The 18164-nt window shown below is 35.2% G+C and overlaps 1 protein-coding gene across 2 annotated transcripts in view; it reads left to right on the forward strand.

Annotated features, from left to right (window-relative positions):
- Window positions 1-18164, forward strand: part of LAMA2 (laminin subunit alpha 2) — a 633429-nt gene that overhangs the window by 383257 nt on the left and 232008 nt on the right. For both annotated transcript variants that reach the window (NM_000426.4, NM_001079823.2), the window contains exons 16-18: window positions 712-825; window positions 4230-4357; window positions 13667-13753. In NM_000426.4, coding sequence (NP_000417.3) covers window positions 712-825; window positions 4230-4357; window positions 13667-13753 — 329 coding nt within the window. The remainder of the gene's footprint in view (window positions 1-711; window positions 826-4229; window positions 4358-13666; window positions 13754-18164) is intronic.

Genomic DNA, 18164 nt, shown 5'->3' on the forward strand with positions numbered 1-18164 from the left:
TTTAAACAAGGAATGAAAAATACAAGCAAAGTTACAGAAGAATGCCATAAAATAAGCTATCAAGAATGTGAGAAATAAATCATAAACTTTTTGTGTAAATTTGAGAAAGCATAATAGGATGGAGGAAATTTAGCATGAAATACATGAATTATATATGTGTAGAAATTAGCTGTGTATGTGGTCAAATATAAGTGTGGGTGCTGCCTTTCTTCCAAATCATGTCAAAGATTTTCTGGAAATGATGACGTTAAGGGCAATTAGTATATGGGCAAGTGAACACATTCCAGAGAATCAAAATTGCTTGGGATGACATCGGGTACTCTCTTAGGCTAAGACTATATGATGAGTCCTTTTATATCAGCTGCCTTTTTTACAGTACTTTTTCTTCTACTTTCCTGTCTGTGCTTTTTTCTTTGAGACTGTCACATTTCAATTCTTTATATCTCTGCTTTATTTTACCATTTCAGAAGAAACACCAAGCTAATGCTTCCTCTAATCTCATACCTGCCAATAACACTAAGGTCAGTGCAAAGCCCCAGTGTCAGGAGGAATAGCTCTGTTGCAATGTTTCAATAATGGCAATGCTTTGACAAGCACATTTGATGAGTTTCCTACCTGTTATTTTCTGTTATCAGAAAACAAACACAAACAAACAAAAACACCTTTTTGTTTTAATCTCCAAGACTGACTAAAGCCTTATCTTTCTCTCAGTCTTGTTGGCCTAGGCACAGGCGAGTTAACGGCACTATTTTTGGTGGCATCTGTGAGCCATGTCAGTGCTTTGGTCATGCGGAGTCCTGTGATGACGTCACTGGAGAATGCCTGGTAAGTGCTCTCTTCTTTGGGGATGCTGATTGACAAGGCTGAAATCACCTCGACAGATGCTACAATTCAGCTACTACCCTGGGGACCTTAAACACTTGAGTCAAGAAGTGCTTTGACAAAGATCTTTGTATTGAACTGAATTGGAACTGAGAATGCTCTTTCATATGTGATCTCCCTAATGAATATGAGGAAGTGTTTATTCATATTAAATCAAGAATTAAATTAGAATCAGATATATTTTTATAAGGCATAACTTCTGATTGGAAGTATAACTACCATGAATATATATGGTTTCACTTTCTTCCATAAATCTATGAAAAGTACAGTGTACTTTTAAAATAGAAAATAATTTATATCCCCATAATATGAAAAGTGTAAAATATAACCTTTATAGTAAACATAATTAAGTTTTCTTCATGTTGAAAATGAAAACATACTACATATTTTTATTTAAAATGTTCATAATTTAACTAAATGCATAGTGTCATTTGTAGATTAAAAATAAAAACAATATGTAATACATATTCACCAGAGCTGCTTCTCCTTTGCAATTAAGTCTAAGCTTTAACCAGAAAATAGGCTTTACAAAGTGCAAAGCACTTTCCATCCTGCTAAGAAACCTTAGGATTGGAGAATTACACTGAATAGACCATTCTGATTAACTCAAGGGCACATTAGTTTTATATTGTCTGACATGGCATGAAGCTTGAAACAACACTTCTCCTTTCATTAGTCTTGCAGAAACACAATTTAAAATGGTGCCAATTAAGGAGGATATTATACTCTCATTTCCCTGAAGAATTTAAGGCGGATTCTGTTACCTGTAATTCTTAATGTTCTATCTTTCTCTTGCTCATTTTCCCCCATTTCTCTTCTACTTAAAAGCTTCTGGGAAAAATCCAAAATGAAAATTCAGGGCTTTTGTTTCAGTGTAATTTGGCATTTAGGTTTGTTGATGCTCTTTCCCTTTTCTCTATATAAGATTTTGTTTAATTGCATTGCATTATGAAGCATGAGAGCCTTAATTTGTGGATCAGTGGATTTTTGAAATGACATTTTTATGAATAGAAAGACTAAGTGATTTTCATTTTAATTATGCCATAAGTCTTTTAAAATGTACTTTGGGAAAAATATTGGGTTACCTTTAAACACTTCACTAACATGCAGTAGGAAATAATACTCAGCCCAAAACTGACATGGAATTGTTTTACTTACCCTAAGAAGACAAAAATAAGTATGTCATAATACCAAACTCATGATGTTCCATATAGTCATATTTCATGAATTCATTAGGATAAAATCAAATCAAATTTTCATGCTGAATTCATTAGGATGAAAGCAAATTAGTCCATTTGTTGATGTGATATTTCTAAAACTAGAAGCCTTTTTTAACTAATAAAACAGTGTCATTCAGCATAATTTTGAGAGAAGGAAGGGAGAGAACAGACCCTACTAATGATGCCTAGTTTACTGATTTTGTTTCATGAACAGGGAGATAGGAGGTCTCCTTCAAATAACAGAGCGATCTTGAGGAAACAGTGGACATCTTGATGATAAAGACAGAATCTGGTGTTTCCTGAATTTTCCATCATAGCTAGTAAATAGGTGATCATGTAGGATATACTGACTTTCAAGTGCCCTTTCTCCAAAATTGTATTGATAACTAAGTGCTGATATTCCATTTTGAGTATATGGGTTCTGATACAATACACAAAGAGGAGAATATTTGAATGTTGCTCATCAAGGGCATTCTTACTGTTCAGCTGACCCTGCATTTTAGCTTCTTGTTTATTTTTCATGGTTTTAACCCAGCATTAAGTAGCATGGTTTTTAGCATGAAAAATAAATTTATAAATTTATAAAGCTTAACTTGCTTTAAAATTTGATTATAAATTATCTGAAAAATATTTTTGGCACCAGAACAAAATCTAAACTTCTGCAATAGTGTAGGTCTATATTTAAAAGACATTTTAACTCAAAGTCCATTTGAAGTAAGCCAGGAAGTATTCAATGTCACATGGGAAGATTTCATGCTTGCTTCTTCTCATAGTTCTTGTGGTATGTAATGTGAGCAAAATTTTGTAAAGCACTTTCGTAACAGGACACCTGTAAAAATAACCAATCCATCAGAGTGAAGCTTCCATCTTTTTTTTTTTTTTATTTCCATTATATAGGTTGTCTGATGCAGTTTTCTGGTTTCCACTACAAAAATACTTGAGTTTTAAGATGATTTTTATTTGATGAAACGTGACATTAGAAAATGTAAGAACTACATGTTATTTGTCTTTTAAATCAATAATTGGAAATAAAAAACCCTCTCAATTATGCAAGATTTTCAGTTGAATGTTAGAAATACCATTTTCAACATGTTTAAGGCAAAATTAATTTTTGATTCAATTTTTTAAAACCCTTAAGTATTTGAAGACATAATTTTAGTTGTATCAGTGAGATAACATGCAAATAATTTTACAAAAAAACAAGCAATTCTTCAGTAATAGCTTAGTTTAGCTAAACTTAAAAATTGAAAGGAAGTAAAACAAAAATCAAATCGGGGAAAAAATCTTTCTTCAAATGGATCCATGTTTTGCACATTAAATCCCAATATACTGCATTATTAAGGCAACTATTCATAGTGAAGCTGACCTTAATGCTATCTTTTAAAAAGTTTTGTTAAAAATAAATTTGAGAAAGAATTTTAAATAACTTAGAGAAAAGCCTGTTTTCAAATATCACCAGTTACTACAGAAATACATATCCACATTTAGTTGATGAAATTGGCACGTGATGTTTAAAATTTTTCAATTTTCTCCATGTTTAATTATGAGTCAAGCAAGCTTCTCACAGATGTAATACAGTAGTGCATTGTCCAAACCATCAGAGTCCACTGAGGCCAAAATTCATGTCTGAGCTAAGAGGCCATAGCCCCGGAGGATTTCTATGATTAGCCACAGTTCCCATTAAATCAGCAATTTCAAGCTGAACAATTGATTTTTACCTAGAATCAGCTACAATTTCCATTAAACATATGTTATTAGTGCTCTATGACTACACACACACACACACACACACACACACACACACACACACACACACACACGCAATATCATGTATTTTCTTAAGGAAAATAAAGAAAAAATGAAGTAAGATTTGCATAATGAAAAACATTAAAATGAATTTCAATCATCTTTTTGTAAGTATGCATATGCTGAAACTACTGTGTTGTTTATAAGCTAGATATTAAATTAACTTTCAATGCTATTTCTCTGCTGTAAAATTGACCATTTAACATGGAAAAATTATTCTTGCTGGCAGGGAGCAGACTAATGACTTCGTAGACCTATTTTTGGCAACATGTTGATCCCTGACACCAAAATAATAAACTCTGATGCTCATTTCTTTCTCAGAACTGTAAGGATCACACAGGTGGCCCATATTGTGATAAATGTCTTCCTGGTTTCTATGGCGAGCCTACTAAAGGAACCTCTGAAGACTGTCAACCCTGTGCCTGTCCACTCAATATCCCATCCAATAAGTAAGTAACAAACTTACCCCATGAATAAGCTCAGCATCCATTTCTGCAAGTACACTTTTCATAGCAAATATACACTTCCTTTTATCCCATGTAAATAAATAATAAACACAGACATGAATTTTTTCAGGAAAATTATATGAATTTTTTCAAACCTAAGATATTTAAAACTATGAGGATTTCTAAGAATTTGTAATTTTTTTAGCTCTAGTTTTGGTGATTTAATTTCTAAGAGTAGAACTCAAATAGAATTTCTACACCAATTCCAAAGAACATAAATATTTTATACAAACACATACATGTGCATGCATGTACACACCTACACACAGACACATACCCATCTTCATACCTTAATAAAAGGATATAAATACAGCTAATTTGGGTTCTACCCATACACTATTTTTTTGTGAATCTTGGGCAAGTCGTAAACCTCTCAAAAAGTAAAATGAAGGGACTGATTTAACTGACTTTTAAGTACCCATTCTATCCCTTCTTTTTAGAAAAATTCGTTGTTCACCTAGAACAACCACCTCTTAGAGCAGATTTAAAAAAACAAACAACAACAAGAAAGAACACTTGACTTCCTCATTTCCTTACCTTTTAGAGGAATGCTATATCCAGCTGCTTGAATTCACATTCCCTCAGGGCAGCCTCTCTCAGTAAACAGCTAAGCACACCCCAACCAAAAATGTTGTTTTGTTTTTAAATTGGGATACTTTTTTTTTTTTTTTTTTTTTTTGAGACAGAGTCTCGCTCTGTTGCCCAGGCTAGAGTGCAGTGGTGCAATCTTGGCTCACTGCAAGCTCTGCCTCCCGGGTTCAAGCCATTCTCCTGCCTCAGCTGGACTACAGGCTGTGTTGAATAAAAATCAACAATTTTTACTCAAAAGTGATTATAAATAACTATACTTTTAAATAAAAGGAAATTATTTTCTGAAGAACTCTCTTAAAGGTGAGCTTAGTGCTTAATAAGGTTCATATCGTATTGTACACTTTCCAGCTATCTCTAGGCACTGTGACAACACTGACAGAGCAAAAATTTTCAATGATCTTTAAGGGAAATCTGTCAGCTATAGTCTTTTAATGTGTAGATGTGATCAAGTAGGTCATACTTCAAACTCTTACCCAGAATGCGCCTAATTAAAATGGTCTTTTGTTAGATTCAATGAATACTATAAGCTAAAGACTTTGAGATAATTCTAACATTAAGTTTAAATGTTCTCCTTGAAACTGTGCTTCCTACTGTTAATCCACATGAAATGCTTATCCTCCCAATGACCTTCTTTACTCAGAATTTTTTACCTTACTCATTGTTTGGAAAAGAAGAGAAAGCACTACTATTTAATAAAAGCAGACTACTATATTCTAGGCCAAACACTGTATTTGGTATTATTTCACCTTCAACTATAACTCAGTAAGGTAGATATTATTATCCTCATTGTATAGATTAAGAAATGAAGGCCATTAGTAGAAAAATGGCATTATGATGCCAATTCTGGAGCCAGACTCTTTGGTTTAAATGCTGGGTTCCATACTTTCCAGCTGTGCCACTTTAGGCAAGTCACTGAAACTCTCTGTGCCTCAATTTTGTCATCATTAGTTATAATAGGACTCTCATAGGGTTGATGTGGGAAAGACATAATTAAAATGTGTAAACCACCTAAACTGTGACTGGATATGATGAACCCAATCTAAGAGCTGATTGTTATTAACCTGCTCAGAGTCATAAAGTATTAAAGTATCAGAGTTGGAATTTTAGTTTTAAAATCCATGTGCTTTCCAAATCTCTACGGTCTACAATGAAGACTTCTTTAAAAAAAAATACACACTGCATTTTAAGTGATAACACTAAAAGCAGTAATTAATTCATTGGATAAGTCAATTTATCTAGCAAGGTTTTGAGAAAATAAGACATTGGTTTAATGCAGGGGTCCTCAACCATCTATAGCCTGTTAGGAACCGGGCTGCCTAGCAGGAAGTGAGTGGTTGGCATTACCACCTGAGCTCAGCCTCCTAACAGATCAGGCAGGCATTAGATTCTCATAGAAGCTCAAACCCTATTGCGAACTGCACCTGCGAGGGATCTAGCTTGTATGCTCCTTATGAGAGTCTAACTGATGCCTGATGATCTGACGTGGAACAGTTTTATCCCAAACTCCTCCCCTGCATCTGTGGAAAAATTGTCTCCAACAAAAGAAGTACCTGGTGCCAAAAATTTTGGGGACCACTGGTTAATGTATGTTAGTGATCAGAACATTTCCAGGGCCTAAGGCATGAGCCTGAATGGGCTCAAAACTGAAGATTCTTTAACAACCAAGGATGTTAGAGAAGAGGAAGAAGGCAAGAGAGAAACCTGTTGGAAAATAATTACTATAGGAGAACAAATGAAATATATTCCTTCATAATTAAAGGCTACTCAAGCCTATGATAGTCATAACATGACACAAAACCTGCACTTTGGTATATATGCGAAGGGTTAGATCACCCAATGGAAGACCTACTTGTTTGCCATGGCTGAATGGCATTCTCTTAACCATCTTCATTTACATGAAACTCATTGTTCACGACTAACTTGCATTTGAGGAAAGCAGAAGTATTGCATCTGGCCACTCGTATTGCATCTCCTTCTCAGCCAAGATGTCATGAGCATTAGCACCACTATCAATCCAGCAGAGCTGGCTGCCCATTGCATCATGTGAATTCCAGCTGAATACATATTAGAATTATATAATTGATTGAGTATGCAAACCCTATGGATTTACCCTCAAGTCTGACCAACATTACTATAAATGCAGAGGAAACATTAGGGAGATAATTTTGCTTGGATAATTATAGGCATTCATGACCCATTGTTGTCTCTTTATTTGTTGTGCATTTACTTGGATAATGGGTTCTAATTGTTGTTCCTGAAAAAGAAAGAAAGTCTGCAAGCATTAAAACACAATCCATCAGTGCCAAAGGGATTGGGTTTCCAGTGTCCAATAATATTATTTCCTAAAAGATGTATATTCTAATTTGGTATAATTACGTTGATCCTGATTTTTAAAAATGCATATAACACAGTGATAACAATACCAGTAACACCAAGTATTTAATGATTCTTTCATTTTCAAAATGTTTTCACTTAGAGTAAGCAATTAATAATTATTAGTAAATATTAATAATTACCAAATTATCAAATATTAATATAAAATATTAAAATTAGCAAATTACTAAATAATAATTTTACTTCTAGCAGTAGAATTGGGACTAGAATAGCAATTTATTTTAAATTCCAGCTTTCAATGTGGTATTTTAACAAGTAGAAAGAGAGGGCAGTGATAATTCACTTAGTTTATAAATCCTAGAAGTTTTGTGAGAGGGTTATAATGTCTTTTACATTTAAAACAATTTTACATTTAAAACAATTTTACATTTAAAACAACTAGAAAATTATCATGGTTTAGTTGCACAACTGTGATGAGAAAAATCCATTTTCATCTAACAACCTGAAATGTTTAAAAAAAAAATCACTAAACAAGACACTTAATGACCTAGGGAAACTATCCTTTTTAAAAATATTTTATAAAAAACATTACTGTTATAATGTGAGCTAGAAACTCTGAGATATGAATTGAATATTTGCATACAATCCTGAAGACGAGATTTTAATTTCCACAGGTTATTCAGAGAAAAAAAAAAAGGGAGCTAAAGGTTGACGCAACCTTCATGGGAAGTCTAAAGCTTAGTGATAGTTTTACCTTGGTGATTTATCTATTTAATCCCTGGTCATAAATCTTATAGATCACAAGCATTTTGGCTCCAAATTTCTTAGATAATATTGCTAAATAAATCAAATATGTAAGAAGATAGAGATAGATTGGTATAATTATTATGATGTATGAATACAGAGAAGCATATAATATTTAAATTATACATATATATCAACTTCATCAACTATTTATGGTGATCACTATGCTTGGCCTTCTCATCTTGTTGATGTATATATTCTAGCTATAGGTTGTAACTAGGCAGTAAAAGTTATCTGGAGAGAAGCAAATAACAATGTAACTATTTCGAATGTTTATATTCTTTAATTTCTGGCATCACATAGCTTATAGGTTAAATAAAATATGAAAGAGACATGTGAATCTCTGCCTTTGAATACTTAGGATGTGTTTGAATATATAATATTATTGAAGTTGTTATAGATTTTCATCAGTTATATAATAAAATATATTATTGGCACAAGGCTGGACAGAGATAGGACCTCAATAAGTTCTATCTACTAATATCACTGTAAATACTACTGGTTTGTGTGGGTCAGGAATGCTGAAATTTAAGTTTTTGAAAGAATGAAACTCAAATTTGAGTTGACCTTTGGGCTCACTCAAGAGATCATATTGAATGCACGTTGTTAAAATTAATATAGAGAAATGTATTCCAAGACAATAGGTAAATTTAAGGAAACAATCAATTCAGCCATATTCTCTAGAAAATTGAGAATGCTCTAGATGTTTTAGTGCTCTTTCCTACACATTGTTTTATGTGCACATGGGAGATTATGATGGGTCTTCCTGGTTCCATATGCCAAAGGAAAAAACTAAAGTTCAGAGAAATTAAGTGCCTTGATAGTGATTATACAGCTTGCTTGTGGCAGAACCAATATTGGAACTCATATATTTTGACTCACCTCTCTGTGCTTCTTCCAATGGGGCTACAGTAATAGAAACAATTACAGAAACATTGAAAAGAAGCAAAAAAAAATCAATAGAATTTAATGTCAGACAAACTGTAAATGTTCACTGTAAAAATCAGTAAATCTTCACTGTTTGGCAAGAGTTATGTTAATTATGCTACATAGTTACAGTTATATTAACAGCTATGTTAATATAAGGGACTAGAGCAGGATGAGAAAACTGCAGATTTAATTCTTTAACTATTAACTAAATACCTTTCACGTTAAATCAACATATCTTATTTTGTTTAAAAATTTGTAAAAAAAAAAAAAAAGGCAAAGTTTTTTAAAAAATTAATAAGTCGTATCTATAATTTATTATGGCAATATGCTTTCATACTTTTTCAGTATAAAAGGGTTTATCAAATCAATCATATTATTCCATTTTGCAGAATGGGAAACAGGTTTAGAGAAATATATCGTTCAAAGACATACTTAGAAAATAAATCAAGTCTAATTAAGAAATGCAATTGTGGAGATTAAATCAGATTTCATAGTACTTAAAGGTAATTAAAGAAATAAGTGTTTGCTTAATGATTCTCCTGAGAATAAGTAGGAGAGATCATTGAACTGAAGAAGAAAATACTTAGAAACTTCAGAAATTTATGACGCTAACACCAAAATCATGAAGTAAATGAATTTTTTCTTTTTCTCCTCTTCCTCTCAGTCCCTGCCCCTTTTCAGTTATGTGTGAATATTCTCATTACCCTCATCTCCAGCTTCTCCACTGACATTGTGTAGCCACTCAAAATGGTTTCTCTTATCCTACCCAACTGTTCAAGATAATAATTAGTTGAAAGGAGTCCTGATCCCCTGTTGTGTATGCAAATACAGAACATGCCCTGATTTTCTAACCCTAATGATGGAAGTTTTAATTTTATACCCATGATTAAAGGAGTGCTTGTTTTATATCACATACAATCCCAAGAAGCAATTCATTATATTTTATTTCAAATGCATGACAGTTAAAGACACACAAAATATTCTCACACATTGACTTAATATGTGTTTAATTTTATTTTAGAGTATTGGATTAACTCTCTGTGGGAGCATTTAACGTTAGAACTGAATTTCAGGACCCACAGAAGGACCCACAGAAGAAGTTTCCCTAATGTCTGATAATCAGGAATTGTTGAGCTTCTATTGAGCAATTGTTTTGCTTTTGGCTTCTGGCTGCTCTGAATCATTTACCTGTTGATTGTTCCCTTTTGCATTAGCTGTGAAAAACCTCAAAGCCAAATGTTGATCCACCCTTATCAAATGAACATATGTTATAACATGCATTTTGAATTCTAAATACACCCTTAAGTTTATCTTTTTTTTAGTATTTTTTTCTCTTTAACCTTGCTTTATTCTTAATGCACATATTTTGACAGATAGAATTAAATTCTTTTTAGAACAAGGTTAATTGTTTCTCTATGTATGCATTCACATACATAAACATATATAGATTGTTGACATAGTCACATGTATACACATGTATGTACACATATATATGCATACATATATACATGCTTATAAGTAGATTATAAAAATAAAAGTATATATTCAGCCATTAAGAGGGATTATTTTCATGTCCAGCTTTTTATTGGTTATCCCAATAACAGCTTCCCCTCCTCCCCTATTTGTGGAAAATGCCCGCTGCTCTTGGCTTTCTTGTGTTTCCTGTGGCGTGGTTTGGATAATCCGGGATGAAGAACATTTTCTGCTGGTGTGGAGCTAGCCAAATAGAGTTAAATGACATAATCTTGGAATCACTTGAGGTCAATGATGATCTCACAATTTCCTCTTTGTGTCACGGAACAATTAGCTTCATGTCTTGGCCAAAATTAGTGCTAAGTGACTGCATTTGCCAAGGCAAATTCTGTAGATGTTTTTTATTGTGCATGTTTATTTCTCACTCTAATTTTATTTTTGTTGTTGAATGCCATCTTCTGCCATAGCTGTAACTGCAATTACAGCAATAAGAGAGTGAATCTTCAGTTTATGTTGTTGAAAGAATATCAAAGCACAAATACAGATATATTTTATGAGAAAGTTTTATTTGGATGCGTTATGTCGAGTATCTATATTACTAGAAACTTAAACTTACTTAATTCTTACCAGTAGGTTTCAATGACAATTGGTTATAGGAAGAAGAGAATATCACATTAAGAATCTAAAGTCCTAGATCCCATACTAAATTCTCCTGGAAATTTTGTATATGACCTTGGTTAAGAAAAACTGTGCCTGCCCTAACCAGCTCATAGGATTTTGTGAAAATGTGATAAAATTGTAAAAGTATTCTGAACTGTAAGGAGCTAGTCAAATTTAACATATTTTTATTGCCTAATTTTTTTCTCGAAAAAGTGTTGATTTTTGTCAGTGAGCACCTTTTACTTATGTTGGTTTTAACTGACATGTGAGTGTATTTAAGAATCTGAAATCTATTTTATGAATAGCTTTAAAGTGTCAAGGCCAGGTGCAATGGCTCATGCCTGTAATCCTAGCACTTTGGGAGGCCAAGGCAGGTGGATCACTTGAGGTCAGGAGTTCAAGACCAGCCCGGCCAATATGGTGAGACCCCATTTCTACTAAAAATACAAAAATGGGCCAGGCCTGGTAGCACCTGCCTGCAATCCCAGCTACTCAGGAGGCTGAGACACTAGAATCGCTTGAACCCAGTAGGCAGGGGTTTCAGTGAGCCAAGATTGCACCACTGCACTCCAGTCTGGGCAACAGAGCAAGACTCTGTCTCAAATAAAATAAAATAAAATATTTTTAAAAATGTCAGAAGCCTTGTCAACCACCATTGACAAGAGTTATGATAAACTGATTTAGGATTATAAAAAACAATTGGTATGGTTTTCTTTCAATCAGTGTAGTCCCACAGAGGTGGGAAACCCAGTGCTTCTGGTTGGAGTCAGTTTCTCAGTAGATGATGAGATAGTTACAGAATGCCAATTTTCAAAGAAGACATATATATGCTACAGAGATGCAGTTCTCACTTTTATGTCTGAAAACAGTAACAGCAAATCACCGGATGTGGATGAGAGGAAATCCTTTTTTTTTATTTTATTTTAACCTGTGCATCTTCAGTGCAATCACAATCCCGTCAAGAAAATCACCCATAGTGAACTGTCTTTGGGTCATGCGTAGCAAAGTACAGGATGCTTTATAAAAGGAGATTCTTTACTCGCAGTGCACACGCTGGGTATGTCTTGTCTGCTGTTCATCACAGCTACCAGAACTCCTTAATGTGGAATCTTTGATCCAGATAATATTTATAAATTCAAAGCATCCCAGACCAGCCTTTATCTCCTTGACCCAGCAGATTCATTTAGACTTTCCACTGAGTTGAAATGTTTAAAATGATAGACTTACCTGGTCCTAATACCTTGCTAGTATCCCAAAAATAGGAAGAACTATTAAATCTTTACAGAACTACCCTGAGTTAAGCCAGAGAAATACTATTCAGAAATAGTGTTCATGATCTGATCTGCACCAAAGTTAAGAAAGTATTTCAAAGTAATTCAAGTGTCAGGAGCAGGATCAAATCAGGACTTGGAATGTTTAATTTGTTGTTATGTCTTTAATTCATTTAGCCATCAAGCAAGTCTCTATTGAATTGCCCTGTCATATATAATAGAAAACAAATCTACTTAGGGAAAACATAATAAGAGAAAGATTAATTGAGGGCATTTCCCTTTAAAACGGTAGCGCAACAGACCTTACAGAATTCAAAATGGTTGATGGCCCTTCAGAGAGCCAGTCGAGAACGCATTACCGTGTGTCAATCTTGGGGTAGGGGTTCATGTATGAGAGGTGCCTCTCACAAGGCAAAGAAGCATGGCTGGAGTGAAACATGTTGCTGAAAGCTAAAGCTAGCACCTGAGTTCTCTGTTGGTTCTTCATCTGGTGTTCAGCTCTATTGCTTCAGACCCAAATTAGAAATATGTGCAAAGAGAGAAGTGAATTTTGAAACATGCCAGAGGGTATGAGATGGCAAGGTTGCTTTTGTTTGGTTAGGTTTATGATAAGTTTAGGTAGAATATGCACACTTGATCTCTTCTGAAAGCTTTCCTGAGGATTCCATCAGTGTGAGGGCATACCTGCAAGGAAGCACATGCCGCAGCCTGCACACAGGCACGCCCCACTATGGCAGTAGCTGAAGAAGGAAGCACTGCCACCACCACTACCACATACTGAGATTTCCAAAATCACTAACAAATTTCTCCAGGCTGCTTCAAATTCAGAGGGATTTGGCTACAGAAGAAAGTATGTGAGGCTGCATATGTGCCAGGCCTGGAGGAATTTCTAAAAAGCAGCTATACATTTCCACTTGTTACTGATGATCACTACTCAGAGCAGTCGAAAGTCAGTTAATAACATGTCACAGGGATACTGCTCTCCACTGGGCTATATTCACGTCTGCAGAAATAGCAATGTCATTTCATCCTCCATTGGCCAGACCCTAATCTCTGTCTCTGGGGTGAGAATGACCAGCCTGTACTCTTTTGTCAGAGCAGTAGTGGAGAGAGAGAAATGAGAAAATGCTAATGACTTTGTGTATGTCCTTCTTCCTTGTCCCTGTTTTCCGCAACAACATCAACATAGCTTTAGCCCAACGTGCCATTTAGACCGGAGTCTTGGATTGATCTGTGATGGATGCCCTGTCGGGTACACAGGACCACGCTGTGAGAGGTAAGAGTATACTACACTGTCTTGCAAAATGATTTCTACCTTGGGAGTTATAAAACCGCAGATACAATCATCCTTTGCATCATCCTTTGGAGAAAAAAGGCCACACTCAATGAGGTGAAATAAAGTTTCTCAACGCACTTGTCAAACAAATGCATTATATTTTTGTAATTTATTTATTTTTCAGAAATTGCTTCATAAATCTTCATTCACTCAGAGAATATCTGATTAATGTTTTAATCTTAAAGGTTAAGTATTAACCTACAATCTTTGTAGAAAGCATTGCTCAAGTGGAAAGTCATGCACTTTAAGATTTATCTTACTGTCTGTGTAGGCACCATTTATTTTTCATAATTAGCTTTTTGTCCTTAAAATGTAGCTTAAATGCATAGTTCATAGTTCAGCAAGTGGTTCATAATTTACTTTAAATATACTTGAAAATAGAAACAAAATGTAATTTATTATCATGATTTATATCCTCTTCTAATTGCTCCTAAACCAGTATTTTAATTCCTGTTGATTTTACTGGGTTGCTTTGCAGCAGAAACAAGAGTATTATTTTATGTAATTTGTGTGATTATATTTCCTTCTGAAATGTTTTTGAAGAAATAATTCTTCTATATATTCAGCCTCAGCATAAAAGTGATACAAACTTCCCCCTTGACATCATTGCCAAAAACAAAAACCTCCCTCTGGTTTCAGCACTGGAAATAGTCCCTGCTGCCACCCTTCCTGGGAGGGAGGGGTGCAAAGGAAGTGACCTACTTTCACTCATCATCACTGAGGCTAACCCTGAAGAGGGCTGTTTCTGCCCGTCTTTTCCTGTCATCTTGGCAGCTATCACCCCTGTTTCAACCAGGATGCATAAAATTAATGAAGCAGGAGCCTATCACCCAGAGAGAATTTAGCTAGCAACTAGCAGTCTGTGGACAAAGTGCCAATGACAGTTCCTAGCAGCAACAAGTACTATTTGTGAGTATGGAAGCATCTGTAAATTAGGAATGAAAGAAAAAAAAATGAAACAAGCAGCATTTATTTGCAATCAAGAAACTAGATATCTTTAATTGTGTGTGTGTGTCTGTGTGTGTGTTTAAAGAAAGGCATGTGCATATTACTTACTATAATAGGAGAACATATCATTGCCAAGACAGATTTACATCAAGTGCCTAAACCCCCCAGTTCACTACAGGCAACCTTTTTTTAGCAACTGGAAAATGACAGCTGCTCTGTCATACAAGGCTATTAAATCCACTTATCTAGGTGAGCATAATCTCTGATGTACTTATATTGCTTTGCTTTATGTACTATACTCCCTATACATGTTAGACAATAGTTTCTGAACCATCTATAATTTAAAACCCTACATTTTATTTAACAAACATCTGTTTAGCAACTACCATGTGCTGGGTACAAGGCTAGACATTGGATATAAATAGATGCATTTTCCCATCCTTGCCCTCAGCACCTCACATCTTTCTTTAATGCAAGTGAGGATGGTTGCTTGTATTCTTGGGAGAATTCCATTTGAATAGTAAAAATCACCAAGGAGAGAAATACCTGACAGAAAGTATGATTTCCTGTCTAAAATCTGTATTAATCTGATTCAGAAGATGGCAACATGCATATGCAGTGTAATGAATGGCATATTTTATCTCCAGCTCAAGTTTTTCCACAGTTGATACCATATTTTTCTAGCCAGAATTTAGATTAGGGTTTTCCAGGAATATTTAAGATTTATAATTTCATTGTATTTATGTAAGCCAAAAGAACACCTTAGATAGATCTAAAATATGAGGGAAACATTTTTTGTTTGAGATGTGCCTGTTGAAGTAGAAGAGAGGGAAGATAAGGGTCAGGGTAAGGAGGAGATACTGGTTGCATTAAAAATCTTGTAATCAAAACCATTCTGTAAGTGATTTGTGTGATCAGCTTATGCACATCATCTAAATAAGACCAGAATTTAAAAACTAAATCAACATTTCCCAAATTGTAGATGTTCCTGGAATAAAGAATTCTGTGATCACATGAGTTTGGGAAGCATCCATTTGCATGTTAAAAGTTCTGGCATGTCCTACAGTGTGTAATTAAGAAATCTGTTCAATTTGTTTAGCTCAGCATTTCCTAAACTTATGTGGCCATAAACCCTCTGCTTTAACTATATAGCAAGAATATATCTCAGACTACAGCTCAGGTGGGACAAGAGTTATAACTTTATAGTCTTTATCACAATTTAATTTCTATTTTGAGACCCCTTTCTCTATATGTGGGAACTGTGAGGTCTTAGAAACATAATCTGAGCCCATTTCAAGTTGTTTTCTTCTCCTCTCTCCCAGCTAGAATCAAAGTTCTATTAAGCTTACCTAGTACCAAAGGCCTTATATGCAAGGGTAGAGGGGAGGGTATAATGTCTGTGTGTATATGTTGAGCAAGGGGACATGTGATAGGGCCAGCCAGTACTGAGTATTTCACCCAAGCATGTTTCTGCTGACCTATCCCTTTTTCTCCGTCCTCCTAATTACCTTTCCTTTCAGGTCTAGAAAGTCTCTCAACTACTTTCATTCCATTCTTAGAGGCACAGGAATCATTCAGCTTCTTTCATTCCATGCTAAGACCCACCAACATCTCTACCATCATCATTTTTCCATCTGCCTTTCCAAATCCATCCCATTTTCTATTTGAAAAAGGATGAGCTACATTTGTGGAACTGGTGGCTTTCAGAGCTCGGGGTCTGGCAGATTCCTATGTCTCTGCCTTTTGCCCTGTCAAATCCCTTCATTCAAACATGTAGCACAAGATGGCCTTGCTTCTTGAATCGAGGGGGTGAAGAGAAACAGTGAACAGGGGAATGGCCAAACAAGATACAACAAAACATGGATTGGTATTCTGTCACAAGTTGAACACTAGTTACAGCTTGGAAAACATTCACTTAGGGCCAAAACACCACTATTTTTGAGGTATCACTGCTTTGCTGGGGAATGATTTAAACAAAGGAAAAAAAAGAGTCAGAGAGTGAGGGGAGAAGGTATTCATGATGATACCTTTGCTAAGATTCTAGACTTTTATCATCTGGACAAGAGGAGAACAAAAATAACAAAGAGACAGAATCTTGAAGGGCTAAAAGAGATTAAGTAAGCAATTGGAATATCAAGAGCAATTAAAAAGACTGTTGAGCTAAAAGTGAGTCAAATGCTGAGGATACCTGCCTGATCGGACACTAAGTTACTTTCAGAATAAGTTTGTAACCTCAGCAACATGTCATACATTATGGAGAAGGCATTTCAAAAAGGCAGGCAAGTTCATCTGGTGGATTCTATAGGACAACATGAAACTTAATGGGATACATAGACTTCTTAAGCCCTCCCCGCTCCCCAGCTGGCAAATTTTTAACAACTTCTCCTTAAGTGATGAGAGAGGGGTCAAAAGCCAGGACTAATCTCACAATTGCCACTGAAAATGTGGAAGGTGTTTGAATCTAATTGCTTAATATTTTGAAAATTCATCTACAGTTTTATCCTCAAGATTCATACTAGATATCAAAGAAATTCCTTTTTGTATCTTAAATTTCAGTTCCAAAATCCCATTTAGATTTTGTCTGCTTCAGAATGTCTGAATTCGAATCAAGTCTAATCACCCCTCTGCTTACTATGCTCATGGGACCTTCTATTCACTTGTGAGTCTCCTTGTGCCTTTGGGTCCTGAATGCAGAGCATGGGCTACAGAAATAACAGAGGAGGGGCAGTTATACCTACCTGTAGTACTGTTAGCAAAATTGTGACTCCAGTTGAGGTGTCAAGAGGCCACTCATATGTGGTTGTGCAGTTTGTACACTGCACAAAGGCACTCAGGGAAGGGGAAGATTGAGGGCTTGAATCCAGTTTACCCTCTTCTTTTCCATGAAGTCCCTGGGTGTCTAGTCTGTTTACTTTTTCTGCATATGTCTAGAAAGGACAATTTCTTCCAACTTGTAAAAGGCACCATGTGAGCAGGGAAACACCCTCAGTCTTTTGCTGATTATGTCAAATGGGAGGAAGTAAGAACACAGCATTACAGCCACGCCTCTTTATACAGCAGCCACCCTCTTCTGTGCCTTTGCCAATACTGTTCCCTCTGCCTGGAAGATTGCAGCCCTTTCACTCCTCCATCCGAGACTAACTAATCCCTGTTCAGCTCCCAAAAGTCAGCACTATCATCCTGAAAATGTCCTTGATTGGGCCTAATCTGAGTTGGTTGCCCTTTTGTGTGCTGCCATAATAGCATTTGCATATCTCCAGTTGTTCTACTGCTACGTTTTAAAATGTGTGTTCATTCTCCATGGACTGTAGTGTGAAGACTGTACCTTATTTGTATTAGTACCGTGTAAAAGTGCTCAGCTGATTTTTTTTAATGGGTTGGGAGAAACCAGAGCTTTTCTAAT

This window comes from Homo sapiens, chromosome 6 (genome assembly GCF_000001405.40).
Source record: "Homo sapiens chromosome 6, GRCh38.p14 Primary Assembly".
Lineage (NCBI taxonomy): Eukaryota > Metazoa > Chordata > Mammalia > Primates > Hominidae > Homo > Homo sapiens.